The 27,210-nt window shown below is 45.0% G+C and overlaps 1 protein-coding gene and 1 long non-coding RNA gene across 2 annotated transcripts in view, besides 10 other annotated features; one reads left to right on the top strand and one right to left on the bottom strand.

Moving 5' to 3' along the window:
• Positions 1 to 5: 5 nt before the first annotated feature.
• On the bottom strand, positions 6 to 5,288 carry EEF1A1 (eukaryotic translation elongation factor 1 alpha 1). Its single transcript, NM_001402.6, has 8 exons — positions 5,256 to 5,288; positions 4,139 to 4,312; positions 3,593 to 3,772; positions 3,188 to 3,484; positions 2,954 to 3,104; positions 2,610 to 2,866; positions 2,286 to 2,520; positions 6 to 2,190 (listed from the first exon to the last, which is right to left on the bottom strand). Exons 2-8 carry the CDS (start codon positions 4,280 to 4,282, stop codon positions 2,066 to 2,068), a joined length of 1,389 nt encoding a protein of 462 aa, NP_001393.1. The 5' UTR covers positions 4,283 to 4,312; positions 5,256 to 5,288; the 3' UTR covers positions 6 to 2,065.
• Positions 3,626 to 4,448: an enhancer, noted in NCBI's record as "H3K27ac hESC enhancer chr6:74229093-74229915 (GRCh37/hg19 assembly coordinates)". NCBI's record gives its function as "activates a minimal SCP1, AML or CMV promoter by ChIP-STARR-seq in primed H9 embryonic stem cells {active_cell/tissue: H9 hESC(primed)}" and the evidence as "EXISTENCE:reporter gene assay evidence [ECO:0000049][PMID:30033119]".
• Positions 4,406 to 4,705: an enhancer, noted in NCBI's record as "active region_24748". NCBI's record gives its function as "activates an Ori minimal core promoter by ATAC-STARR-seq in GM12878 lymphoblastoid cells {active_cell/tissue: GM12878}" and the evidence as "EXISTENCE:reporter gene assay evidence [ECO:0000049][PMID:35858748]".
• Positions 4,406 to 5,270: a biological region, named in NCBI's record as "NANOG-H3K27ac-H3K4me1 hESC enhancer GRCh37_chr6:74229916-74230737".
• Positions 4,449 to 5,270: an enhancer, noted in NCBI's record as "NANOG-H3K27ac-H3K4me1 hESC enhancer chr6:74229916-74230737 (GRCh37/hg19 assembly coordinates)". NCBI's record gives its function as "activates a minimal SCP1, AML or CMV promoter by ChIP-STARR-seq in primed H9 embryonic stem cells {active_cell/tissue: H9 hESC(primed)}" and the evidence as "EXISTENCE:reporter gene assay evidence [ECO:0000049][PMID:30033119]".
• Positions 4,996 to 5,105: an enhancer, noted in NCBI's record as "active region_24749". NCBI's record gives its function as "activates an Ori minimal core promoter by ATAC-STARR-seq in GM12878 lymphoblastoid cells {active_cell/tissue: GM12878}" and the evidence as "EXISTENCE:reporter gene assay evidence [ECO:0000049][PMID:35858748]".
• Positions 5,156 to 5,235: an enhancer, noted in NCBI's record as "active region_24750". NCBI's record gives its function as "activates an Ori minimal core promoter by ATAC-STARR-seq in GM12878 lymphoblastoid cells {active_cell/tissue: GM12878}" and the evidence as "EXISTENCE:reporter gene assay evidence [ECO:0000049][PMID:35858748]".
• Positions 5,271 to 6,093: an enhancer, noted in NCBI's record as "NANOG-H3K27ac-H3K4me1 hESC enhancer chr6:74230738-74231560 (GRCh37/hg19 assembly coordinates)". NCBI's record gives its function as "activates a minimal SCP1, AML or CMV promoter by ChIP-STARR-seq in primed H9 embryonic stem cells {active_cell/tissue: H9 hESC(primed)}" and the evidence as "EXISTENCE:reporter gene assay evidence [ECO:0000049][PMID:30033119]".
• Positions 5,816 to 6,045: a silencer, noted in NCBI's record as "silent region_17335". NCBI's record gives its function as "represses an Ori minimal core promoter by ATAC-STARR-seq in GM12878 lymphoblastoid cells {active_cell/tissue: GM12878}" and the evidence as "EXISTENCE:reporter gene assay evidence [ECO:0000049][PMID:35858748]".
• Positions 7,753 to 7,892: a silencer, noted in NCBI's record as "silent region_17336". NCBI's record gives its function as "represses an Ori minimal core promoter by ATAC-STARR-seq in GM12878 lymphoblastoid cells {active_cell/tissue: GM12878}" and the evidence as "EXISTENCE:reporter gene assay evidence [ECO:0000049][PMID:35858748]".
• Positions 7,867 to 27,210, top strand: part of EEF1A1-AS1 (EEF1A1 antisense RNA 1) — a 52,643-nt gene continuing 33,299 nt past the window's right edge. The window contains exons 1-3 of the long non-coding RNA NR_187283.1: positions 7,867 to 8,091; positions 8,712 to 8,802; positions 10,142 to 10,298. This is a non-coding gene — a long non-coding RNA (EEF1A1 antisense RNA 1). The remainder of the gene's footprint in view (positions 8,092 to 8,711; positions 8,803 to 10,141; positions 10,299 to 27,210) is intronic.
• Positions 7,933 to 8,112: a silencer, noted in NCBI's record as "silent region_17337". NCBI's record gives its function as "represses an Ori minimal core promoter by ATAC-STARR-seq in GM12878 lymphoblastoid cells {active_cell/tissue: GM12878}" and the evidence as "EXISTENCE:reporter gene assay evidence [ECO:0000049][PMID:35858748]".

A 27,210-nucleotide genomic window follows, 5' to 3' on the forward strand; every position in this document is an offset into this window, starting at 1 on the left:
TCATCTTAAAGCTTAAAATTCATTTATTGTAGTGAGCAAGTTTGTAATGAATACCAGCAGGTGGTGCTCAAGCCACAGTTGTCTAAGACACTGGGTTTCACAGGAAGTTAATCTCAATCTCAGTATATGCAAGTAAACTGACTCATTCCTGCTTCCAGTGGGAACAATTTTTCAGTTAAATCTTGCTTCCTTGCATGTCAAGAATTCTCTACTGGTAAATCTTACAGGTGTCAACTTTCATTATCAGGGCATCTATTGGCCATCTATTAAAGGCCTTACCTGTTTTTTCTGTCATCCAGCAAATCTTAGACTATTTACTTGTGTAAACATTAGATAGCAAAGAAACTAAGGACAAAAATCTCTAGTTCAATTTAGACTTGATACCTCAGAGCACTGGCTGATGGGAAGGCATTTTATCTAATTCAGACTCAGATGAGGGAAAACGATAACACTTCATTACAGACTTGTCTATGGCCAATTCAAGTACCTTTGAATCTTGAGCAATACACATTGCCAGTCACTTTAAGAGGCCTTATCTCTTGGGCTGCTTTAACTCCTGCTTAGCATGTCCTTAAGAACACATGTCCTGGCCAGGCATGGTGGCTCATGCCTGTAATTCCAGCACTTTAGGAGGCCGAGGCGATCACCTAAGGTCAGGAGTTTGAGACCAGCCTGACCAACATGGAAAAACCTCATCTCTATTAAAAACACCAAATTAGCACATGCCTGTAATCCCAGCTACTTGGGAGGCTGAAGTAGGAGAATTGCTTGAACCCAGGAGGAGGAGATTGCAGTGAGATTTTGCCATTGCATTCTAGCCTGGGCAACAAGAACTCCATCTTAAAAAAAATTTTTAAAAACCATCACACAAACAGAAAGCATGTCCTTTAATTTTACCTATCCTTCAAACTTAAGCAAAAATTTTCCTTTTATAACCAAAAAAAAACCTTTAGACACTTTTACATATGGGAGGTCAGGCACAGTGGCTCATGCCTGTAATCCCAGCAGGAAGATCGCGAAAAGCATTTTTCAAATGCACAAATGCTTAAAGATTCAGGAGTAAGTGGGCTATTACACCTGTTAAGCCTATTACCATGTAGTTTCATTCCTAGTGACCAAGTAGACAAACTGCTAATTATCAAAGCATAAAAGGTATTAGACTCTGCAGGAGAAAAGCAATGTAGATTAGTCTAATTTTATAGCTACTTCAAATTGCCATCTTTTTCTATTAGAACCTTGTTCCTATTCTGAATAGCACTCAATAGAACTTGTGAAACCATCAAACTGGCATAAAGCTTACTCCACTGACTTCAAAATGGACCCTTCCACTCATAGGGTGTACACTAGCCACTACACTTATTTCTTATGTCATGGCAAATAGTCAACTTTCACTGCCCAGTCATTTTAACCCACGTTTCAACATGCACATCCCAGTAATTTGGAAACATTTTGTTTCCAAAGATTCACTTAACATTGGTTTAGCAACATGAAGCTTTCTATGCAACACAAGGACTCAGTTTTTGGCCTGTTTTAGTGACAGGCAATCAGCAACATGCTGCATTTCTCTCCAGTGTTGTAATCAAAGCAACCCTCCCATAGCTTTAAATGATATTCCTTCCCCTTCCAATTATGTGGGGGGAAAACAACCCTATTCTCCACCCAGAAGTGTTAACTCAAGAATTACATTTTCAAGAAGTTTCCAGATTCGTAAAACCAGAATTAGATGTCTTTCACCTAAATGTCTCGGTGTTGACCAAAGGAACACACAGGTTTCTCATTTAACTTTTTTAATGGGTCTCAAAATTCTGTGACAAATTTTTGGTCAAGTTGTTTCCATTAAAAAGTACTGATTTTAAAAACTAATAACTTAAAACTGCCACACGCAAAAAAGAAAACCAAAGTGGTCCACAAAACATTCTCCTTTCCTTCTGAAGGTTTTACGATGCATTGTTATCATTAACCAGTCTTTTACTACTAAACTTAAATGGCCAATTGAAACAAACAGTTCTGAGACCGTTCTTCCACCACTGATTAAGAGTGGGGTGGCAGGTATTAGGGATAATATTCATTTAGCCTTCTGAGCTTTCTGGGCAGACTTGGTGACCTTGCCAGCTCCAGCAGCCTTCTTGTCCACTGCTTTGATGACACCCACCGCAACTGTCTGTCTCATATCACGAACAGCAAAGCGACCTATTAAAAAAAAAGTTAATTATTACCCAAAGTACTGTTCAGTTGTATTTTTCATCTTTAACACAACTTTTTTACATTTAAGTAGTCATCCTTACCCAAAGGTGGATAGTCTGAGAAGCTCTCAACACACATGGGCTTGCCAGGAACCATATCAACAATGGCAGCATCACCAGACTTCAAGAATTTAGGGCCATCTTCCAGCTTTTTACCAGAACGGCGATCAATCTTTTCCTTCAGCTCAGCAAACTTGCATGCAATGTGAGCCGTGTGGCAATCCAATACAGGGGCATAGCCGGCGCTTATTTGGCCTGGATGGTTCAGGATAATCACCTTGGAAAAAAGATTTGCATTCAGTGCAAATCCAAAGTCTCAAATGACTTTAGCCTCTGCAATAAGTTAATGTTACTTTAAATTGTTACCTGAGCAGTGAAGCCAGCTGCTTCCATTGGTGGGTCATTTTTGCTGTCACCAGCAACGTTGCCACGACGAACATCCTTGACAGACACATTCTTGACATTGAAGCCCACATTGTCCCCAGGAAGAGCTTCACTCAAAGCTTCATGGTGCATTTCGACAGATTTTACTTCCGTTGTAACGTTGACTGGAGCAAAGGTGACCACCATACCGGGTTTGAGAACACCAGTCTCCACTCGGCCAACAGGAACAGTACCAATACCTAAAAATATTTACAGCATACTAAATACCTATGAAGGCAGACAGTACTCTATCAACTCAAATTCAACTTTGTTTACAGCCAACTTACCACCAATTTTGTAGACATCCTGGAGAGGCAGGCGCAAGGGCTTGTCAGTTGGACGAGTTGGTGGTAGGATGCAGTCCAGAGCCTCAAGCAGCGTGGTTCCACTGGCATTGCCATCCTTACGGGTGACTTTCCATCCCTTGAACCAAGGCATCTGAAACACAAGCATGCCAATTTGTGTAAGCATGAAATCGCCATTCCCAGAGCTTTTTAACAATGGTCTTGAAAGCCACTTACGTTAGCACTTGGCTCCAGCATGTTGTCACCATTCCAACCAGAAATTGGCACAAATGCTACTGTGTCGGGGTTGTAGCCAATTTTCTTAATGTAAGTGCTGACTTCCTTAACAATTTCCTCATATCTCTTCTGGCTGTAGGGTGGCTCAGTGGAATCCATTTTGTTAACACCGACAATTAGTTGTTTCACACCCAGTGTGTAAGCCAGAAGGGCATGCTCTCGGGTCTGCCCATTCTTGGAGATACCAGCTTCAAATTCACCAACACCAGCAGCAACAATCAGGACAGCACAGTCAGCCTTTAAAGAAAGCAAAGACATATCCCTGTCAACTCTCCAAATGACAAAACCAGTGTACAAAGCAAGCCTTTTGGGATAAAGAAACCTAGAATTATTAATCCCACCAACCTGAGATGTCCCTGTAATCATGTTTTTGATAAAGTCTCTGTGTCCTGGGGCATCAATGATAGTCACATAGTACTTGCTGGTCTCAAATTTCCACAAGGAGATATCAATGGTGATACCACGTTCACGCTCAGCTTTCAGTTTATCCAAGACCCAGGCATACTTGAAGGAGCCCTTTCCCATCTGTAAGGATTAAGAGTCGTTACTTGGTTACTAAAACACAAACTCCAGCTTCAATTTCCTTGTCCCCAGCCCTTAATTGGCAGTTTCCACTTTACAACTCCAAGTCCAAAGTGATTTTAGTCACTTTGGGTTACAGAAGCAACCAAAAATCAAACTTTTATAAGTCGGATCTTAACTATTAACATCCAAATCTACTCACTAGCAATACGATTACAGAAGTCACCAAAAGCAAAATTATTTCATAAGTAAGGTCTTAACTATTAGCATTCAGATCTAAACCACTCACTAGTTCTGGGGAAATCACCTAATGATTCTGCTGGTAAAACTCATTTTAGTTGATCTTTCCCTTTCTGGTATTAAACATACCTCAGCAGCCTCCTTCTCAAATTTTTCAATGGTTCTTTTGTCGATGCCACCGCATTTATAGATCAGATGGCCAGTAGTGGTGGACTTGCCCGAATCTACGTGTCCAATGACGACAATGTTGATATGAGTCTTTTCCTTTCCCATTTTGGCTTTTAGGGGTAGTTTTCACGACACCTGAAATGGAAGAAAAAAACTTTGAACCACTGTCTGAGGCTTGAGAATGAACCAAGATCCAAACTCAAAAAGGGCAAATTCCAAGGAGAATTACATCAAGTGCCAAGCTGGCCTAACTTCAGTCTCCACCCACTCAGTGTGGGGAAACTCCATCGCATAAAACCCCTCCCCCCAACCTAAAGACGACGTACTCCAAAAGCTCGAGAACTAATCGAGGTGCCTGGACGGCGCCCGGTACTCCGTGGAGTCACATGAAGCGACGGCTGAGGACGGAAAGGCCCTTTTCCTTTGTGTGGGTGACTCACCCGCCCGCTCTCCCGAGCGCCGCGTCCTCCATTTTGAGCTCCCTGCAGCAGGGCCGGGAAGCGGCCATCTTTCCGCTCACGCAACTGGTGCCGACCGGGCCAGCCTTGCCGCCCAGGGCGGGGCGATACACGGCGGCGCGAGGCCAGGCACCAGAGCAGGCCGGCCAGCTTGAGACTACCCCCGTCCGATTCTCGGTGGCCGCGCTCGCAGGCCCCGCCTCGCCGAACATGTGCGCTGGGACGCACGGGCCCCGTCGCCGCCCGCGGCCCCAAAAACCGAAATACCAGTGTGCAGATCTTGGCCCGCATTTACAAGACTATCTTGCCAGAAAAAAAGCGTCGCAGCAGGTCATCAAAAATTTTAAATGGCTAGAGACTTATCGAAAGCAGCGAGACAGGCGCGAAGGTGCCACCAGATTCGCACGCGGCGGCCCCAGCGCCCAAGCCAGGCCTCAACTCAAGCACGAGGCGAAGGGGCTCCTTAAGCGCAAGGCCTCGAACTCTCCCACCCACTTCCAACCCGAAGCTCGGGATCAAGAATCACGTACTGCAGCCAGGGGCGTGGAAGTAATTCAAGGCACGCAAGGGCCATAACCCGTAAAGAGGCCAGGCCCGCGGGAACCACACACGGCACTTACCTGTGTTCTGGCGGCAAACCCGTTGCGAAAAAGAACGTTCACGGCGACTACTGCACTTATATACGGTTCTCCCCCACCCTCGGGAAAAAGGCGGAGCCAGTACACGACATCACTTTCCCAGTTTACCCCGCGCCACCTTCTCTAGGCACCGGTTCAATTGCCGACCCCTCCCCCCAACTTCTCGGGGACTGTGGGCGATGTGCGCTCTGCCCACTGACGGGCACCGGAGCCTCACGCATGCTCTTCTCCACCTCAGTGATGACGAGAGCGGGCGGGTGAGGGGGCGGGAACGCAGCGATCTCTGGGTTCTACGTTAGTGGGAGTTTAACGACGGTCCCTGGGATTCCCCAAGGCAGGGGCGAGTCCTTTTGTATGAATTACTCTCAGCTCCGGTCGGGGCGGGTTGGGGGGGGTGGTGACGGGGAGGCCGCCTGGAAGGGACGTGCAGAATCTTCCCTCTACCATTGCTGGCTTAGCTCCAAAGGTTGTATTGAGATTAGGGTGTACCTTCGCCTCTCAATCAGCCTCCCGTCCTCAGCCTTGCCATCTCGCTAGTCCGGGACAAATCCCTAGAGCGTCTTCCTCTGCGGGTCTCAGCCCAGCCCGGGGTTGGCTCCTCCTCCGCCCCGGCTTCCGCGCCCCTCCCGTGTGGCAAGGAGTACCAGGCCCGGGGACCCCGAGGGGCTTGGGGCGAAGGGTCGGGACTGGGGGCCTCCTTAACGGCTCACGGACTTGCGAGAGGTTCGGCTCGATGGCCGTGAAAGCGACGAATCCGCTCCTGTGCTGGCCTCTTGGCTCCTTCCATTCAAAGCCAGCTGCTTTTATGGAAGCCCGTAACACGTCATCTCCCCCTGGTACTCCAGATGTCCAGGCTTTCAGTTTAGAATAGACTCAGTCCTACAGTTAGCTTTAGATCTAATTCTAGTTTTGTTACGCCAAAAAGTTCCTGCGAGTGTGTGTGTGTGCCTCATGGTACTTTTTAAATTAAAAGGTGTACAGTTATTTGATTGCAAACATAAGGAACCTAAAATGCTTTCAGATTTTCCACATGATCTCATGTAGAGGCTAAGATCTACAGCATCAGCAAGTTTATCCACCCAGTTTCCTAACCCCAACACTTGCTATGAAGTCACAGCTTCTCCTATTTAAATAAGTGCCTATTATATTTAAATAAGTGCTGTCGTTTTCTGTCATCCTATCGATTGTAACTGCATTTTAGCATAAATCTAGGGCAAGATTGGATGAGCTTGGCCTTTTTGGATGGCTATCAAGGCAGGCCTTGGGAAATGCTCCTCTGAGGAAAGAAGAACGTTTATTTTTAATGAGCTAATTACTAGATCATTATGTTTCTTCTTCCAGCTGTAGAATATCATTGCCCAGCTTCTCGAACAAACTTATTTATTAACAAGTATTTGAGAACCTACTATGTGGCCAACGCTAAGTACTGTGGAGTTCCTTCTGGAGAGGAAACCACAATCAAATTGGAAGAGGAAAACAAGTTGGGAAGCAGTTGAAGGCAAACGCTATGGTGCTTTCTTGGTTTCTGTATCTTTGTAGTGTAGTTTTTCTAGTCCTTTCAGTTTTCACAGTCCACTTTTTTTTCTTTCTTTCTTTTTTTTTTTTTTTTTTGAGACGGAGTTCTACTCTGTTGCCCAGGCTGGAGTGCAGTGGCGCGATCTCGGCTCACTGCAAGCTCTGCCTCCCGAGTTCAAGCGATTCCTCCTGCCTCAGCCTCCCAAGTAGCTGGGACTACAAGCGCGCCCCACAAATTTTTGTATTTTTAGAAGAGACGGGGGTTTCACCATGTTGGCCAGGCTGGTCTCGAACTGCTGACCTCAAGTGATCCACCCGGCTCGGTCTCCCAAAGTGCTGGGATTACAGGCGTGAGCCACGGTGCCCGGCCACAGTCAAAGTTTTTCCTCAAGCCCCTGTGATTGCGGATAATAGTAAACGCTTTATAAATACCTTACACAGAATGTTTTTTAAAATATCACGCAAGGAATGACAAAATTACATGAATCCTTGATTTATACCTAAGTAACATATTGTGCAACACAGACTGGGTGTTCTGAATGTTGCGATAGTGGCCGAGACTTTCATTAGGTGAAGGGAGATCTCAATTCTCGCGTTTAAGAACCAACACTGGACCGGGCGCGGTGGCTCACGCCTATAATACCAGCACCTTGGGAGGCCGAGGCGGACGTATAATTTGAGGCCAGGAGTTCGAGACCAGCCTGGCCAACATGGTGAAACCCTGTCTACTGAAAATACAAAATTAGCCGGGCGTGGTGGCGCATGCCTGTAATCCCAGCTACTTGGGAGGCTGAGGCAGGAGAATCGCTTGAGCCCGGGAAGCGGAGGTTGCAGTGAGTCAAGATCACGCAATTGCACTCCAGCCTGGGCGACCGAGTGAGACCTTGTCTCAAAACAAAACAAAAAACCAATACCTTTGAGCCCATCGGAGCCATATTATTGTGCGTTAGGGGTAGTCACTGGCCACGAGCATTTTCTCAGGGCAGAGATCACATTTCTGCTCTCAGTGGGGCCGGGGTGGGCCGGAAGCCGGAGAGGGACTGGAACGCCGGTCCGGGGAAGCCCCGCGCGCACCGGGGCGCACCCTGCTTCCTAGGGAGGGAGGCTGGGGCGGCAAGGCGGGCGCGGGTGGTCCTTGCCCCGCGCCAGCTCGCCAGGCCACGTCGCTGGCGTTTTTCCAGCGCTGGGTCACCTGCGGGCCGGCGGGTTCCCGCGGCGAACAGCTGGGTGGTATGGATACGCCGCTCGAGCCTCCGCAGCGTCAGGTCGCCAGGGTCCGCCCTGCCACTCGCCCCACCTTGAGGTAACTTTTCTTCCGCCTTCTGACTGCGGAAGGAAGGGCCTGGGAGGAAGCAGAAAACCTCACGTGGCTCGGGGTGAGGGTCGGTTTTTGTCACCGTGAGCTGGCCTCTAAAAGACTTTTTAAGTCCCAAGTCTTCTTTTTCTTCTTATTTTAAATCCCTTTTTCCCCAGACCCTATGTTTTCAACATAATCATAACGGATTCCCCGCACCCCTACGCCTTTACAGAGATCCAGTATGCTTTTTACTGCCTTAAATGTTAAAGCGGTAACAGTAACGATGTTGAGGCTCGTAAATGTGTTTTGGGGTCATAATCTAAGGTAGTATTTGCTGAAGATTTTTCTTAAACTTGCTCATAACCATTTAGAGTGACAAACTTAAAATACATTGTAAGTAAAAATCAACATGACCCCTTTTAGGAAGAAAAACAAAGATTTCAGTTATTTACATAGGAATAAGGCAAACAAGAATAGTTCTTTGAGGTACTTAATTGTGATTCACCAAGCTTTCAGTATAGTCTGACCACTCTGCTATTAGTCTAATTTAAAGCAGCCTTAAATAGTTACATTTTACCATGGCTTGCCACGTGAAAATGATTTTTAAATCTTTTCATCTGCTGTAGCTACCTCTGAAGAAAAGATGATGGCCCGGTGCGGTGGCTCACGCCTGTAATCCCAGCACTTTGGGAGGCCGAGTCAGGCGGATCACCTGAGGTAAGAGTTCGAGACCAGCCTGGCCAACATGGTGAGACTCCCGTCTCTACTAAAGATATAAAAATTAGCCAGGCTTGGTGGTGTGCACCTATAATCACAGCTACTTGGGAGGCTGAGGCAGGAGAATTGCTTGAACCCGGGAGGAGGAGGTTGCAGTGAGCAGAAATCGTGCCACTGCACTCCAGCCTGGGTAACAAAGTGAGACTGCATCTCAGAAAAAACTATATATATATATATATATATTTTTTTTTTTAAAGGGGTATTTTAGAATATGATTAAGCCAAGGAACTATTTGGACTGAGAATCCAATTTTTTTTTTTTTTTTTTTTTTTGAGATGGAGTCTCACTCTGTCACCCAGGCTGGAGTGCAGTGGCACGATCTCGGCTCACTGCAAGCTCCGCCTCCCGGGTTCATGCCATTCTGCCTCAGCCTCCCGAGTAGCTGGGACTACAGGCGCCGGCCACCACACCCAGCTAATTTTTTGTATTTTTTTTAGTAGAGATGGGGGTTTCACCATGTTAGCCAGGACGGTCTTGATCTCCTGACCTCGTGATCTGCCCAACTCGGCCTCCCAAAGTGCTAGGATTACAGGCATGAGCCACCACGCCCAGCCGAGAATCCAAATAAAATGACACTTTAGTGTGACAGGCACTGTTCTAATATTTGCAATATTTATTGTAATCCTACCACCCACATTGTATAGATGGAGCAGCAATGGGCAACAGGCAGTTTATGCGTAATAAGCACATATAGACATATATTCTTTTTTAAAGTTTTACCTTTTTTTGCACAAAATGGTAAAATACAATATGCCACCTTGCTTTTTTCACCTAATACAGCTTGGTGATCTTTTTTCATGGTACCTTAGGGCCCAGCAGAGCAGGATTGGAACCAGGGTAATCTGTCAGAGAGCTAGTCCTAACCCTTACCAGCAGGTCGAGGCAGCCTGATATAATGAAAATATCAGTGGCATCGGTGTCAGAAAATTAGGGATTTAGTCCTCGCTCTTCTGCTTAGACCTATGACAGCCCAGCAGTTCTGAGTACATCTGTGAAATGGGTTGCCTCTTTGTTCCTACTTAACACCTATGTCACAATTCTAATATGCAATGACATGAAAAGACATGGGGGCTCTTTATTAGTACAAAAGACAGTGTTTCTACATGCTTTTTGGAGAATGCCTGTCCTTAATTGGTATGCCTGTGACACCAACTTGAGTCAGTAGAGAAAATAAACTCATTGGTATCTTTGTAATTGTAAGCATTTTTACGTAGGTAATACATGTACATGGTAAGAAATTGTACAGAGGTTATACAATGAAATGTTACTCTCATTTTAGCAGTGTAAAGAAAGTCTGAAGAATACTCCAGGAAAATTGAGGAAACTAAAGCTATTTCTACTACTGGTCTCATAATTGCAAAGCCAGTGCCTACCATGATAAGTGCTCTCTTACTTGGTATGAAGGAAATGATTTTCTTCCCTTGCTATTTTTTTTAGTAAGTATATTATTTTATTGCTACATTAGAAATGAAAATACACTCTGAGAAGCTGCAAAGGCATGCAACTTCATAAAGATTATGAAGCAATGGAGACACTCATAGAAGGTTAAAATTGGCTTTTCCTGTAGGAGGTGCAAAGACTATACACACACAGGTCATCAATGGTTAGATTATTGGCAGCATCTGCCATGTGGAATTTATGTGCCAATGGGAAGATTTTTGGTGTTTTGCTTTGTTTTGTTTTGTTTTGAGACGGAGTCTTATTCTGTCACCCAGGCTAGAATACAGTGGCATGATCTTGGCTCACTACAACCTCCGCCTCCCGGGTTCAAGTGATTCACCCGCCTGAGACTTCCATGTAGCTGGGATTGCAGGCATACACCACCATGCCTAATTCATTTTTTTCTTTGTTTGTTTGAGATGGAGTCTCACTCTGTCACCCAGGCTGGAGTGCAGTGTCATGATCTCAGCTCACTGCAACCTCCGCCTCCCGGGTTCAAGCGATTCTCCTGCCTCAGTCTCCCGAGTAGCTGTGACTACAGACATGTGCCACCACACCTGGCTAATTTTTGTATTTTTAATAGAGACAGGGCTTAGCCATGTTGGCCAGGGTGGTCTCGAACTCCTGACCTCAGGTGATCCACCCACCTCAGCCTACCAAAGATTACAGACGTGAGCCATCATGCCCAGCCCCCATTATATGATGTTTGAACACCGTATTTCTCCTGCTGGATAGTTTCCTTGGAAGAAAGCCTATTTTTTTCTCCAGTGTTAGTTTTCTTCAATTTTGACCTGTCAAACTTCACTTCTGACAAGTTTGGGTTTATCACTCATCTTGATTAAAAGAAAGCCTGAAGGCTTGAAGACTCGTGAAACGCTGGGCTGAGACCATACTGCTCACTCTGGACCAGATTAGGGTTCCTGAGCAGAGCCCAGCAGTTGTAAGCCCAGTAGCAGGGCCCCCTCACTCAGTATTCATTTGTGAATCCATATTTTATAAATCATATGAATTTTCAGTATTTCTTTGTCTTCATAGGTGATATAGTTAACAGAGCACTTGACTAAGAGACAAGCTGGAATATATTCGTAGTCCCACATAATTTCTTTATCAGAGTGATCTTGAATAAATCACACTTGAGCTCATTATTTCTTTTTTTTATTTTTATTTTTTGAGATGGAGTCTCGCACTGTCACCCAGGCTGAAATGCAGTGGTGCAATCTCCGGTCACTGCAACCTCCGCCTCCTGGGTTCAAGTGATTCTTCTGTCTCAACCTCCCAAGCAGCTGGGATTACAGGCGCCCACCACCATGCCTGGCTAATTTTTTTGTATTTTTAGTAGAGACGAGGTTTCACTATGTTGGCCAGGCTGGTCTTGAACTCCTGACCTCATGATCTGCCCTCCTCGGCCTCCCAAATTGCTGGGATTACAGGCATGAGCCACCACGCCTGGCCTGAGCTCATTATTTCATAGTAAAATAATCTAACATCTATTTCATAGAATTGATCATAAGGATTAAATAAGATAATGGACCAGATGATGCAAACCATTTTTACAAATGTCAGCGCTCATTATACTTAGAAAATAATCATTAGCGCTTTTATTTTATTTATTTATTTTTTTGAGACAGAGTCTTGCTCTGTTGCCCAGGCTGGAGTGCAGTGGCATGATCTCGGCTCACTGCAACCTCCACCTCCCAGATTCAAACAATTCTCCTGCCTCAGCCTCTGGAGTAGCTGGGATTACGGGCACATGCCACCACCCCTGGCTAATTTTTGTATTTTTAGTAGAGATGGAGTTTCACCATGTTGGCCAGGCTGTTCTCGAACTCCTGACCTCAGGAAATCTGCCTGCTTTGGCCTCCCAAAGTGCTGGGATTGCAGGCGTGAGCCACCGCGCCCAGCCAGCTCTTTTAAAAAGCAAAAATCTGTCCGGGCACGGTGGCTCATGCCTGTAATCCCAGCTCTCAGGGAGGCAGAGGCGGGAGGATAGCTTGAGCCCGGGAGTTCTAGACCTGCCTGGGCAATATAGCGAGACCCCGTTCTCCACAAAAAGGAAGAAAAAAAAAAAGACACACACAAAAAAAGCAAAAATCTGTTTAAAATGTAGAGTACTTTACAAATTCTCAACATTTATCCTAATAATGAGTACTATTTGGTCAATTTCATTTAAGTATTAGAATTATAGATTCACCAATCTATACAAGTGTTATACATACATGTGACAATGTGTGTGTTCTGTAAGTGGCAAGGACTTTTGAATTATGACATTCAATATATGTTGGTGCTGGGCATGGCAGCTTGTGCCACTAATTCCAGCTACTCAGGAGGCTGAGGTGGGAGGATGACTTAAGGCCAGGAGTTTGAGGCTGCAGTGAGATATGATTATTGCCATCTGGGCAACAGAGTGAGACCCTCATGTCTGAAAAGAAAAAAAAGATGATGGTAATTGTGCAGGATTTCTGAAGTCAGTCTTTATTCATCTATCCATCAGACATTTATTGAGCATCTGTTCTGTGCCAGGCACTGAGCTAGGCACTAGGAGACAAAAAGCAATCTCTGCTGCATAGCATATGTGGCAGAGCCCTGGAGAGGTAGGGGAAGGAAGACAAATAGTAAACAGGTAACTCCAGGAGAGCATGAGTCCTGGAACCAAGTATGCCTAAGGTGCTTTTGAGCATTCAGGACAGATTCAGACTCAGGGAGGGGATGAGGACAGCAGCACGCAAAGCTTCCCAGAGGGCAGAGAGTCTCACCTGGGTTTGGAGGACAGCAGCAGGGAAACCTTCTCAAAGGACAGAAAGTCTCACCTGGGTTTGGTATGAACTGTGGGCATAAGCCAGTGAAAGGAGGCTATGAAGGTGGGAGGCTATGGAGTTGACTGCTCTAGGAAAGAAAGTGGGAGGAAGAGTTTACTCCTACAAGACAGTAACAGATAGCAAGATAGATCTGTCTGGGGGCATTCACCAAGGCCCTCAAGGAGCCTGCGAAGAACGTTGAATCTCTGGAGACAGACCAACCTGGATCCAAGTCTCGCGTCCACCACTTGCTGAACATGTGGCTCTGGGCAAGGTGTTTGGTCTGTTTAAGCTTCAGATCCCGTGTCTGTAAAAAGGAGATAATAATAACTATTCCATAAGACTGCTGTGAAAAATTAGATAAGAAAAGTATTTCAAATGTCGAGCAAGATTTATTTGCACCAAGTTAGAATAGCAATTGGCAGAAACTTTTTCGTTTGTTCTTTTTTGTTTGTTTCAATCCATTGTGTTTATTACATATTACTTTAAGAGCAAAGAAGCTCTGAAGTTAGAACATTTTCACTCATATCTCTGTTGGCTCTACCACAACCAGAGGTAGAATGTTTAGCAAGTGATTTAACTTCACTGAGCCTCATTTTTCATATCTATAAAGTGATGATAATAATAAATAATATCTACCCCATAGGCTCGTTGTAAGGATTAAATGAGACAATCGATATAAAATACTACTTAACCCAGTGCTGGACATGTAGTAAGCATTCAGTAAATTTTAATTGTTCTTTGATATGTTATTTAATTTTTTGTTATTTGGGATTCCTCATTAACTAGCATCTTATTATAGAATGAAGTTTCTTTACTAAGAAAATGCCATAATGACCTTGCCTTGAGCTCTGTGTTTAATATTCCTGCATTTCAGGTTTCCTTATTAATTTTCCTATAACTTGCATTTTCAGAATCTTAAAGATGCTGTTCGCTGGGCATGGTGGCTCATGCCTTTAATCCCAGAATTTTGGGAGGCTGAGGCAGTCAGATCAGTTGAGTCCAGGAGTTCAAGACCAGCCTGGGTGACATGGCGAAACCCTGTCTTTCTTTTTTCGGAGACGGAATCTCGCTCTGTCGCCCAGGCTGGATGGAGTGCAGTGGCGTGACCTCGGCTCCCTGCAGCCTCTACCTCCCAGGGTTCAAGCATTTCTCCTGCCTCAGCCTCCCAAGTAGCTGCGACTAGAGGCGTGCACTGCCAAGCCCAGCTAATTTTTTTGTATTTTTAGTAGAGACGGGGTTTCACCATGTTGGCCAGGATGGTCTTGATCTCCTGACCTCGTGATCCGTCTGCCTCAGCCTCCCAAAGTGCTGGGATTATAGACGTGAGCCACCACACCAGCCTATTCTATTTCTAAAAAAAAGAAAAAAAAGATGCTGTTTTAGTCCACTTGGGCTGTTATTACAAAATACCTTAGACTAGGTAACTTATAAACAACAGAAATTTGTTACAGTTCCGGAGCCTGGGAAGTTTAAGATCAAGGCACTGGCAGATGCTGTGTCTGGTGAGGGCTTGCTCTCTGCTTCAAAGATTGTGCCTTTCAGCTGCATTCCCACATGGCAGAAAAGTCAAGGGAGTTCCCTCAGGCTCAGGCTTCTTTAATACGGGCATTTATTAAAGGATAGAGCTCTGCTGACTTAATCACTTCCCAAAAGCCCTACCTCTTAGTACTATCAGACCTATTACATTTCAACTTATGAATTTTGGAGGGACATCAACATTCAGACCATAGCAGATACCATGGTTTTTGTTTTTGTTTTTGAGACAGAGTCTTGCTCTGTCGCCCAGGCTGGAGTGCAGTGGGCGATCTTGGCTCACTGCAATCTCCCTCTCCTAGGTTCAAGCAATTCTCCTGCCTCAGCCTCCCTAGTAGCTGGGACTACAGGTGCGTGCCACCATGCCTGGCCCTGGTTTGTTTTTTTGAGACAGTTTCATTCTGTCACCAAGGCTGGAATGCAATGGCACAATCATAGCTTATTGCAGCCTTGACCTCCCAAGCTTCAAGCAATCCTCCCACCTCAGCCCCCCAGAGTAGCCGGGTCTATAGGCGTGTACCAACACACCTGGCTAATTTTTAAATTTTTTGTGGAGATGGGCTCTCCCTCTGTTGCCCAGGCTGATCTCAAACCCCTAGGCTCAAGCTATCCTCTGGCCTCCGCCTCCCAAAGTGCTAGGATTACAGGTGTGAGCCATAGAGCCTAGCCAGATGTCATGGTTTTTTTTGTTGTTTGTTTGTTTGTTTGTTGTTTTTTTTTTTTTGAGACAGAGTTTCGCTCTTGTTGCCCGGGCTGGAGTGTAATGCCGTGATCTCGGCTCACCGCAATCTCGGCTCACCGCAACCTCTGCCTCCTGAGTTCAAGTGATTCTTCTGCCTCAGCCTCCCGAGTAGCTGGGATTACAGGCATGCAGCACCACGCCTGGCTAATTTTGTATTTTCAGTAGAGACAGGGTTTCTCCATGTTGGTCAGGCTGGTCTTGAACTCCCAACCTCAGGTGATCCGCCTGCCTCTGCCTCCCAAAGTGCTGGGATTACAGGTGTGAGCCACCACGCCCAACGATGTCATGTTTTAAATAATTGTGGACGAGGTAGGAGGATTGCTTGAAGTCAGGAGTTCAAGACCAGCCTCGGCAACATAGTGAGTGTGCATCTCTACAAAAGACTTTTAAAAATTCGCTGAGCATAGTGGTGCACAGTGTGATCTCAGCTACTTAGGAGGCTGAGGCTGTAGGTTCGCTTGAGCCCAGAAGTTCAAGGCTGCAGTGAACTATGATTGTACCATTGCACTCCAGCCTAGGCAGCACAGTGAGATACTACCTCTAAAAAGATAAAATATAATGTAAAAATACCAGCCTGGCCAACATGGCAAAACCCCGTCTCTAATAAAGATACAAAAATTAGCTGGGCACGGTGGTGCACGCCTGTAATCCCAGCTACTCGGGAGGCTGAGGCAAGATAATTGCTTCAACCAGGGAGGCGGTAGTTGAGGTGAACCAAGACTGCACCATTGCACTCCAGCCTGGGTGACAGAGTGAGATGATGTCTCAAAAAAAAAAAAAAAAAAGGTAAAAATAGATAAATTATTATGAACATTATGGAGTTAGAAGTATTAAGGAAAACAAGTTTGTTTGATAAAAAAAACATGTAGGATTTTTGTTTTTTTTGAGATGGAGTCTCACTCTGTCACTCAGGCTGGAGTACAGCGGCACAATCTCGGCTCACTGCAACCTCTGCCTCCTAGGTTCAAGCGATTCTCCTGCCTCAAGCCTCTCAAGTAGCTGGGACTACAGGTGCCCACAACCATGCCTGGCTAATTTTTTTTTTGTATTTTTGGTAGAGATGGGGTTTTGCCATGTTGGCCAGGCTGGTCTCAAACTCTTGACCTCAGGTGATCTGCCCACCTCAGCCTCCCAAAGTGCTGGGATTACAGGCATGAACCACTGTGCCTGTCCAAAAACCTAGGATTTTTAAAAGATGAAAAGCAGCGTAAACAATCACTTCTAATTCTAAAATCCTGTCATTTCTTTTCTAAGATTAAATCTTCTTTATTCTTTTTAATTTTTTCCTTTTAAAATATAGTATCTCTTGAATTGTTGCTATGTCATTGCCTTTGTTTATCTAGTACCATCTGCTTCTGCTATATCTATTGGCAAGCTGTTCTTGCTGCAAAAGGAACTTTGCAGATTTAGTTTTAAAAAACGCCCAACCATTTCATATGTCACATATTCATCAATGAAAAGGGAAAACCAGGTCTCAATAACTAGAAAACCGCTATGGTAAGCTCTTAGATCATCATCTTCTTCTTCTTCTTTTTTTTTTCTCACAATGAAGAAAGAATCTGGAAGAAGCCATCATGTGAATACAAACTATTGACAATTCTCTCCATTAACTTGTTGTTGTTGTTGTTGTTGTTTTGAGTCAAAGTTTTTGCTCTCGTTGCCCAGGCTGGAGTGCAATGGCGTGATCTTGGCTCACTGCAACCTCTGCCGCCTGGCTTGAAATGATTCTCCTGCCTCAGCCTCCCGAGTAGCTGTGATTACAGGTGCCCACCACCACACCCAGCTAATTTTTTATATTTTTAGTAGAGACAAGGTTTCACCATGTTGGCCAGGTTGGTCTCGAACTCCTGACCTTCAGGTGATCCACCTGCCTTGGTCTCCCAAAGTGCTGGAATTACAGGTGTGAGCCACCACACCCAGCCTCTCCATTAATTTGTATATCTGCCACCTGGGGACCCACTGTAAAATAAATACTACTGTTCCTTTATGGATAGTACTGTATTGTTTTCACACTTGATTTCATTAATTCCAGTTAACGTATACCAACCTTTGTGCTCAAGATCTAGAACAATAAACTCTTCACTTTGGAAGACAGTTTAATCTCCATGTACTGAAAACCACTAATTTTACAGGTGAGAAACTGTGGGAATGACTGAGTGATTTGCCCAGTGCTCATGTGGCTAAAGATCAAGCCTGCCCGCCCACCTTATGACTTCCATTTTTTGCCTTTAGCGAGTAAAGCAGTAGGGATTAAAAGTGTATGTTCTAGAGCCAGACTAGCTGGGTTCCAAGCCCAACTCTTAATATTTAATAGCTATGTGACCTGAGGCATATTAAACTCTTTAAGTCTTAGCTTCTTTATTTGCAAAATGAGGATAATATTCCTCATTTATAAAATTATGACAAATAAGTTAATATACGTATTCTAAATTATTTACATTGTTTAAGTATTAGCTATCATGTTTTGTTCATTATTCTACCTTCAGGACCTAAAATAGTACCTGCACAATGACTTTGCTAAATGAATAATTGAATGGATAAAGGGTAAGCTGCTTCCCTATGCCATCATTGACTAGTTGACTTAAAAAAATTTTTTTAACATATATTTTTGTGGAAGGATGGTTCTCACTGTCAGACATCAATAGGTTAGTTTGAGTTGCAGAAGGTAAATGAAAATTGTAGGTAGGACTACTTTTAAGATTTTTGATCTACATTAATATGTTATGAAGAAATAATATGGCTGAACATTTCCCAAATTTAGTGAAGGATAGATTCAACCCAATGAATGAAAACCAAGCAAGATAGTAAGACTTCGTTTAGGCACATTGTAGTCATCAGTCAGACTGGTGAAAACTAAAGTTTAAGAAAAAAACTTGGATGGGCTTGGTGGCTCATACCTGTAATCCTAGCACCTTCGGAGGCCGAGGCAAGAAGGGATTGCTTGAGCCCAGGAGTTCAAGACAAGCCTCAGCAACAAAGTGAGACCTTATCTCTACAAATAATTAACTGGGCATGGTGGTATGCACTTGTGGTCCCAGCTACTTGGGGAGCTGAGGTGGGAGGATCACTTGAGCCCAGGAGGTTGAGGCTGTAGTGAGCCATGATTGCGACACTGCACTCCAGCCTGGGTGACGGAGCAAGACCCTGTTTCAAAAACAAAAACAAAAACAAATGACACAACAAAATACTCCTTTTGGAGGGCAGTGGCCAAGTCTGTAAATGCCACTCCAGGAATGGGAACTGTTATATTCCTTCCTCTTCCACTTTCCATTGCAACCAATAAAGATGGTTTGTAACATTAAAAAAAGAAGGAAGAAAGGAAGGGAGGAGGGGGGGAGGGAGGGAAAGAAAAGAAAAGAAAAAGAAAAAACTGAAAGTTCTCAGAGAAAAATACATTACATACAAGGGACACATTACATACATGGGAGCAATGGTTGACTGCTTCTCATTAGGGACATGGAAGCTAGGAGGTAAATGAACAACATCTTAAAGTACTGAAGGAAAAAACAAAATATGTCAACTTAGAACTCTATATCTGGTGAAACTATCCTTCACAAATGAAGACAATAAAATCACAATGAGATATCACTACACACCCACTAAAGTAGCTAAAATTAAAGAAAGACTAACAATACCATCTTTTGGCAAGCAATTAGGAGTCTTATACAGCTGGTGAGAATGTAAAATGGTACAATCTTTTAGGAAAACAGTTTAGCAGTTTCTAAAAAAAGTTAAACATACATCTACCATATGACCATCCATTCCACTTTCAAGTGTTTACCCAAGAGAAATGAAAGCATATATCCAAACAAAGAATTGGGCCAAAATGTTCATAGCAGCTTTATTTTATCCACAAACATGGAAACGACCCAAATGTCCATCAACAGGTGAACGGAAAACAAATGGTGGTATATCCATATACTAGAAAACTACTTAGCAATAACGACGAATGAACTATTGACAAATCCAAAGACATGAATGACTTTCAAAGTACTTGTGCTGGGCAGGGCATGGTGGCTCATGCCTATAAATTCCAGCACTTCAGAAGCCCACGGTGGGAGGCTTGCTTGAGGCCAGGCATTTGAGACCAGCCTGGGCAGTATAGCAAGACCCCCATCTCTATTTAAAAATTAAAAAAAACGGCTGGGCATAGCGACTCACGCTTGTAATCCCAGCACTTTGGGAGGCTGAGTGGGCAGATCACCTGAGGTCAGGAGTTCAAGACCAGCCTGGACAACATGGTGAAACCCCATCTCTACTAAAAATACAAAAATTAGCCGGGTGTGGTGGCTGGTGCCTGTAGTCCCAACTACTTGGGAGGCTGAGGCAGGAGAATCTCTTGAACCCGGGAGACAGAGGTTGTAGTGAGCCAAGATCCCACCATTGCACTCCAGCCTGGCGACAGAGCAAGACTCCATTTCCAAAAAAAAAAAAAAAAAAAAAGAAGGTCCCCTGTTACTTTCCATTATAGCGTCTTCTTTGTTTCCTTCTAAACACTTACCACAACATGTAATTATCTTATTCATTTGACTATTTTTTCAGCTTTGTCTCCTCTCCTAGAATTGAAATTCCAAAGCAAAGATCTTTCCTGACTTTTTTTGTTTTAACCGTGGTATCCAGTGTGTGGTGCATAGTAGATGTTCAGTAGACATCTGTTGAATGAATACATAGAGAGGGAATCTGGGAATGGAGTCTGCTTCTCCTCAAGTACATATATTTCACTGACATTGTCTTCAGTTTTAACTATGAAAACCTGCCCTTGGGTATTAAAAATCATTCTATAATTCATATGTTTTCCAGCCGTCTTCCTAATGTGCCTTGGTCTTTCTTCTTTTCTAGTTTGGACTTGCACTATGTTTTCTTGCTTTTTTTTTTTTTTTGACGATGGTGGAGACGGAGTCTCGCTCTGTAGCCCAGGCTGGAGTACAGTGGTGTAATCTCGGCTCACTGCAACCTCCGCCTTCCGGGTTCAAGCAATTCTCCTGCCTCAACCTCCTGAGTAGCTGGGATTACAGGCACGCACCACCATGCCTGGCTAATTTTTGTATTTTTAGTAGAGATGGGGTTTCATCGTGTTGGTCAGGCTGGTCTCGAACTCCTGACCTCAGATGATCCACCCGCCTCGGCCTCACAAAGTGCTGGGATTACAGGTGGGAATCACCCCACCCAGCTTTTTTATTTTTTCTTTCTTTCTTTCAAAGAAAAGGTCTCATTCTGTCGCTTAGTCTACAGTGCAGTAGCATGATCATAGCTCACTATAACCTCCAACTCCTGGGCTCGAGGGATTCGCCTGCCTTAGCCTCCTAAGTAGCTGGGACTACAGGCCCACACCACCATACCTAGCTACTTGCTTGATTTTTTAAAGTTTGCCTGGGAGTGAGGGGTTCACCCAGGCCCTGGTAGAGGTAGGGAACATCCTTAAACATCGTTGCCTTGATGTCTACTTAGCAAATAAAGAATGACGTTTTCATGTGGCCTAATCAGAAGAGTTGGTCACACTTATAACTAGGACTGGCTTAAAGACAAGTAGGGGATGGTAAGGGCTGAAGGAACTCATTGAGAACAGAGACATGCCTCTGTTTCTTTATCATCCAACCATTAATCCATCCCCTCTTTCAGTAATTATAGTGTTTACTGATCTCAGACCCAGACAAGAACCATTCTACATGTTTTATACATATTAACTAATTTAATTCTTACAGTTACTATAAGGGTAAATACTGTTAATATCCCCAGTTTATAAATGAGAAAAGTTATGGCCTGGTGTAGTGGCTCACACCTGTAATCCCAGCACTTTGGGAGGACAAGGTGGGTGGATCACCTAAGGTCAGGCGTTCAAGACTAGCCTGGCCAATATGGTGAAACCCCATCTCTACTAAAAATACAAAAAAAAAAAAAAAAAGCAGGGCGTGGTGGCAGGTGCCTGTAATCCCAGCTACTCGAGAGGCTGAGCAGGAGAATTGCTTGAACCTGGGAGGCAGAGGTTGCAGTGAGCTGAGATTGCGCCATTACACTCCAGCCTGGGAGACAAGAGCGAGACTCTTTATTATTTAAAATAATAATAATAATAAAATAAATGAGAAACCTGATAAGCACCTATTAAGCATTATTGTTCAGTGGTCTTTGAGAATGATCAGATAACCGTTATAGGGTCAGATAATGCAGTTTACAAAAAAAGCTATGATAGTGGCTCACACCTGTAATCCCAGCACTTTGGGAGGCTGAGGCAGGCAGATCACAAGGTCAGAAGTTGGAGACCAGCCTGGCCAATATGGTAAAACCCTGTCTCTACTGAAAATACAAAAATTAGCTGGGCCTGGTGGTGGGTGCCTGTAGTCCCAGCTACTCGGAGGCTGAGGCAGAAGAATTGCTTTAACCCGGGAGGCGGAGTTGCAGTGAGCCGAGATAGCACCACTGCACTTGAGCCTGGGCAACAGAGTGAGACTCCATCTAAAAAAAAAAAAAAAAGCTGTGATAATTTTCCAAATCATTTTTGAAATGTAATGATGATAGGACAGTATTTAAGCAAAATTACATATACTGTTTTAGGATTATGGAAAGTGTTGTTGCCATATAAATTACACATTTTAAGATAAAGTCAGTGCTAAACAGGAGAAATAAAGTGCTGTGGCTACAGGAAGGACACTGGGGGAATGGGAAGAACACAGTATTGGGTTTGGAGAGACTTGGCACTGAATCAGGTCTCTGTTCGTCACGAGTTCTGTGATCTTGGGCAAAGTGCATGAGCTTGAGTTTCTATAATTCTGAGTAAGAGTAATGAAGCCTCTGGAGGTCTTGTGAATTCCCCACATTGAGCTGTGCCCTTCTCTGTGCTTTCCCATCACTCTTTGTGATGTCTTGCATATCATTTGCCACATGGAAAGTACCTTTATTTTTTATTCTATTTATTTATTTATTTATTTTTGAGACAGCATCTTACTCTGTCGCCCAGACTGGAGTGCAGTAGTGTGATCTTGGCTCACTGCAACCTCTGCCTCCCAGGTTCAAGCGATTCTCCTGCCTCAGCCTCCAGAGTAGCTGGGACTACAGGTGCCTGCCACCACGCCCAGCTAATTGTTGTATTTTTTAGTAGAGGCGGGGTTTCACCATGTTGGCCAGGCTGGTCTTGAACTCCCGACCTTAAATGATCCAACTACCTCGACCTCCCACAGTCCTGAGATTACAGGCATGAGCCCCCATGCCTGGCCAGAAAGTACCTTTTTTAAAAAATTAACTTTTTGTTTTGTTTTTAGAGACAGAGTCTCCCCCTGTGGCCCAGGCTGGAGTGCAGTGACACTATCACAGCTCACTGCAGCCTGAAACTCCTGGGTTCAAGTGATACTCCTGCCTCAGCCTCCTGCGTACCTGGGAGCACAGGCGCATACCACCATGCCTGGCTAATTTTTTGTTTTTTGTAGAGATAGGGGTCTCACTGTGTTGCCCAGGCTAGCCTCGAATTCCTGGGTTCCAGCGATCCTCCCACCTCAGCCTCACAAAGTGCTGGGATTACAGGCGTGGGCCACCATGCCCATTACAGGCATGAATAAGCCACAATGCCCACTTGTCTTAGTTTGTAAATATACATGAATTGTAGTGAATATTAGATAATTATCTCCTTTGTCCCTTGACCCATAGGCCTCAAGAAAGCAAGGACCAGACAGATAATGGTTCACCACTAGATTGCACCTGGGGAATCCTCATAGAGAATATGGGTCTTGAAAGATATCAAGAGGCGGGGCGTGGTGGCTCACACCTGTAATCCCAGCACTTTGGGAGGCTGAGGCAAGTGGATCACCTGAGGTCGGGAGTTTGAGACCAGCCTGACCAACATGGAGAAACCCTGTCTCTACTAAAAATACAAAATACAAAATTAGCCGGGTATAGTAGCAAGTACCTGTAATCCCAGCCACTCAGGAGGCTGAGGCAGGAGAATCGCTTGAACCTGAGAGGCAGAGGTTGCAGTGAGCCCAGATCATGCCTCTGCACTTCAGCCTGGGTGAAAGAGGGAGACTCCACCTAAAAAAAAATAAAAAATAAAAAAAGAGATGTGAATTCATGGCTTGTTTAAGGAAAACTGAGTAGTCCTGTGTGGTTCTAGAACAGTGATTCTCAAACCAAGAGTGTTCATTCCCCCTGTCCCCACCCCCTCCCCTGGGACAATTGACAATGTCTGGAAACATTTTTTTTTGAGATGGAGTTTCACTCTTGTCACCCAGTCTGGAGTGCAATGGCAGGATCTCAGCTCCCTGCAACCTCTGCCTCCCAGGTTCAAGCGATTCTCCAGCCTCAGCCTCCCAAGTAGCTAGGATTACAGGTGTGCACCACCACGCCTGGCTAATTTTTGTATTTTTATTTTTTTATATTTTGAGATGAAGTCTTGCTCTTGTCCTCCAGGCTGGAGTGCAGTAGCACAATCTTGGCTCACTGCACTCCTAATTTTTGTATTTTTAGTAGAGATGGGGTTTCACCATCTTGGCCAGGCTGATCTTGAACTCCTGACCTCATGATCCACCTGTCTTGGCCTCTTGAAGTGCTGGGATTACAGGCGTGAGCCAACGCGTCCGGCCTGAAAATCCTTTTTTTTTTTAATTAATTAATTTATTTATTTTTGAGACTGAGTGTCGCTTTGTCACCCAGGTTAGAGTGCAGTGGCACCATCCCAGGTTAGAGTGCACAGGCAACATCCACCTTTGGGTTCAAGTGATTCTTCTGCCTCAGCCTCCTGAGTAGCTGGGATTACAGGTGTGTACCACCACGCCCAGCTAATTTTTTGTGTTTTAAGTAGAGACGGAGTTTCACCATGTTGGCCAGGCTGGTCTCGAATTCCTGACCTCAGGTGATCCACCTGCCTCGGCCTCCCAAAATGCTGAGATTACAGGCGTGAGCCACCGTGCCTGGCCTGAACATTTCTTATTGTCATGACTTTGGAATCCTACTGGCATCTAATGAGTGGCAGCTAACGATGCTGCTAAATGTCTTACAGTGCACAGAACAGCCCCCTACAACAAGGCACTATCCAGCCCCAAATGTCAACAGTGCCAAGGCCGAGAAACCCTGCTCTAGAAAAAATAAAGCTAGGTACACAGTTTGAGGCTCTATCATGGGACTCCAAGTCCAGTTTTACAATCTCCAACAGTGATTAGGACTAATAAATACTTGTGGAATAAATTTAAGCCTTGAAAAACCAGTTAAATGGTAAATTCAGAGCAAATGTTGAAGAAAACTTTATCAGATACAGAAAGGAAGAGGAAGTACTTTTCCTCTTCAGTCAGGCCATCTCTTCAGACATATGTCATCTTTTTTTTTTTTTTGAGATGGAGTCTCGGTCTGTTGCCCAGGCTGGAGTGCAGTGGCACAATCTCGGCTCACTGCAAGCTCCACTTACCGGGTTCATGCCATTCTCCTGCCTCAGCCTCCCAAGTAGCTGGGATTATAGGCACCCGCTGCCACGCCCTGCTAATTTTTTTTTGTATTTTTAATAGAGACGGGGTTTCACCATGTTAGCCAGGATGGTCTCAATCTCCTGACCTCATGATCCACCTGCCTTGGCCTCCCAAAGTGCTGGGATTACAGGCGTGAGCCACTGTGCCCAGCCATATGTCATATTTAAAAGGATTTGCAGGCTGGGTGTGGTGGCTCACGCCTGTAATACCAGCACTTTGGGAGGCCAACCGGGTGGATCACCTGAGGTCAGGAGTTCAAGACTAGCCTGGCCAACATGGTGAAACCCTGTCTCTACTAAAAATACAAAAATTAGCTGGATGTGGTGGCGCGCATCTGTAGTCCCAGCTACTCGGGAGGCTGAGGCTGGAGAATCGCTTGAAACTGGGAGGTGGAGGTTGCAGTGAGCTGAGATGGTGCCACTGCACTCTAACCTGGGCGACAAAGCGACACTCGGTCTCAAAAATAAATAAATAAATTTTAAAAAAATGATTTTCAGGCCAGACGTGTTGGCTCATGCCTGTAATCCCAGCACTTCAAGAGGCCAAGACAGGTGGATCACGAGGTCAGGAGTTCAAGATCAGCCTGGCCAAGATGGTGAAACCCCATCTCGACTAAAAATACAAAAATTAGCTGGGCATGGTGGCAGTTGCTGTAATCCCAGCTACTCCGGAGGCTGAGGCAGAGAATCGCTTGAACCCAGGAGGCAGAGGTTGCAGTGAGCCAAGATCGCACCACTGCACTCCAGCCTGGGTGACAGAGCGAGGATCCATCTCAAAATAAAATAAAATAAAATAAAATAAAATAAAATAAAGGATTTTGCTCAGCCGGGTGGGGTGGCTCACGCCTGTGATCCCAGCACTTTGGGAGGCGGAGGTGAGAGGACTGCTTGAGCCCAGGAGTTTGAGACCAGCCTGGGCAACATAGCAAGACCTTGTATCTATGGGGGGAAAAATGGATTTTCCTCTAATAAGGACCATTTTCTATTTCATGTAAGGATGGACATGTTTGAAACTTAATCCACCAGTTTAAATAATATTTAATTCTTGTTTAAAATCTTTTTTTTTGTTGTTGAGACGGAGTCTTGCTCTGTCGCCCAGGCTGGAGTGCAGTGGCGTGATCTCGGCTCACTGCAAGCTCCGCCTCCTGGGTGCACGCCATTCTCCTGCCTCAGCCTCCCAAGTAGCTGGGACTACAGACGCCCGTCACCACACCCGGCTAATTTTTTGTATTTTTTTAGTAGAGACGGGGTTTCACCGTGTTAGGCAGGATGGTCTCAACCTCCTGACCTCGTGATCCACCTGCCTCGGCCTCCCAAAGCACTGGGATTACAGGCGTGAGCTACCGCTCCCAGCTAAAATCTTTTTAATTTTAATTTAATTTAATTTTTTTGAGATGGAGTGTCACTCTGTCGCCCAGGCTGGAGTGCAGTGGCGAGATCTCGGCTCACTGCAACCTCCACCTCCCAGGTTAAAGCGATTCTCCTGCCTCAGCCTCTGGAGTAGCTGGAACTACAGGCGCGTGCCCCCACGCCCTGCTAATTTTTATTGTATTTTTAGTAGAGACGGGGTTTCACTGTGTTAGCCAGGCTGGTCTTGATCTTCTGACCTCATGATCTGCCTGCCTCAGCCTCCCAAAGTGCTGGGATTACAGGCGTGAGCCACTGCGCCTGGCTTTTGATTCTTTCAGTTACATTTTCTAGGCAATTTAATTATCTTTGATTATCTTGTTTAAGCCTATTTAATTGTCTGTTAGATTTCAGGGATGGATAATGGAAACAAACAAAAAGTCTTTGCACATTTAGCTTTATTTTTTTTTTTCTGGAGACGGAGTCTGGCTCTGTCACCTAGGCTGTAGTGCAATGGCACAATCTCAGCTCACTGCAACCTCTGCCTCCCGGATTCAAGTGATTCTCATGCCTCAGCCTGCCGAGTAGCTGGGATTGCAGGCACCCACCATCATGTCTGGCTAATTTTTGTGTTTTTAGTAGAGACAGGGTTTCACCATGTTGGCCAGGCTGGTCTTGAACTCCTGAGCTCAGGTGATCCACCCACCTTGGCCTGCCAAAGTGCTGGGATTACAGGTGTGAACCACCACACCCGGCCATTAAGTATTCTTAGTTTCTTGACTGGGCATGGTGGCTCACGCCCATAATCCCAACACTTTGGGAGGCCATGGCAAGAGGATTGCTTGAGCTCAGGAGTTCAAGTTCAGCCTGGACAACATAGGGAGACCCTGTCTCTACAAAATATAAAAATAAATTAGCTGGGCATGGTGTCACACCTGTGATCCCAGCTACTTGGGAGGCTGAGGCAGGAGAATTTCTTGAGTCCTGGAGGTTGAGGCTGCAGTGAGCTGTGATCACACTGCACTCCAGCCTGGGTGACAGAGAGC

The sequence above is a fragment of the Homo sapiens genome, chromosome 6 (assembly GCF_000001405.40).
Source record: "Homo sapiens chromosome 6, GRCh38.p14 Primary Assembly".
In the NCBI taxonomy this organism is placed as follows: Eukaryota; Metazoa; Chordata; class Mammalia; order Primates; family Hominidae; genus Homo; species Homo sapiens.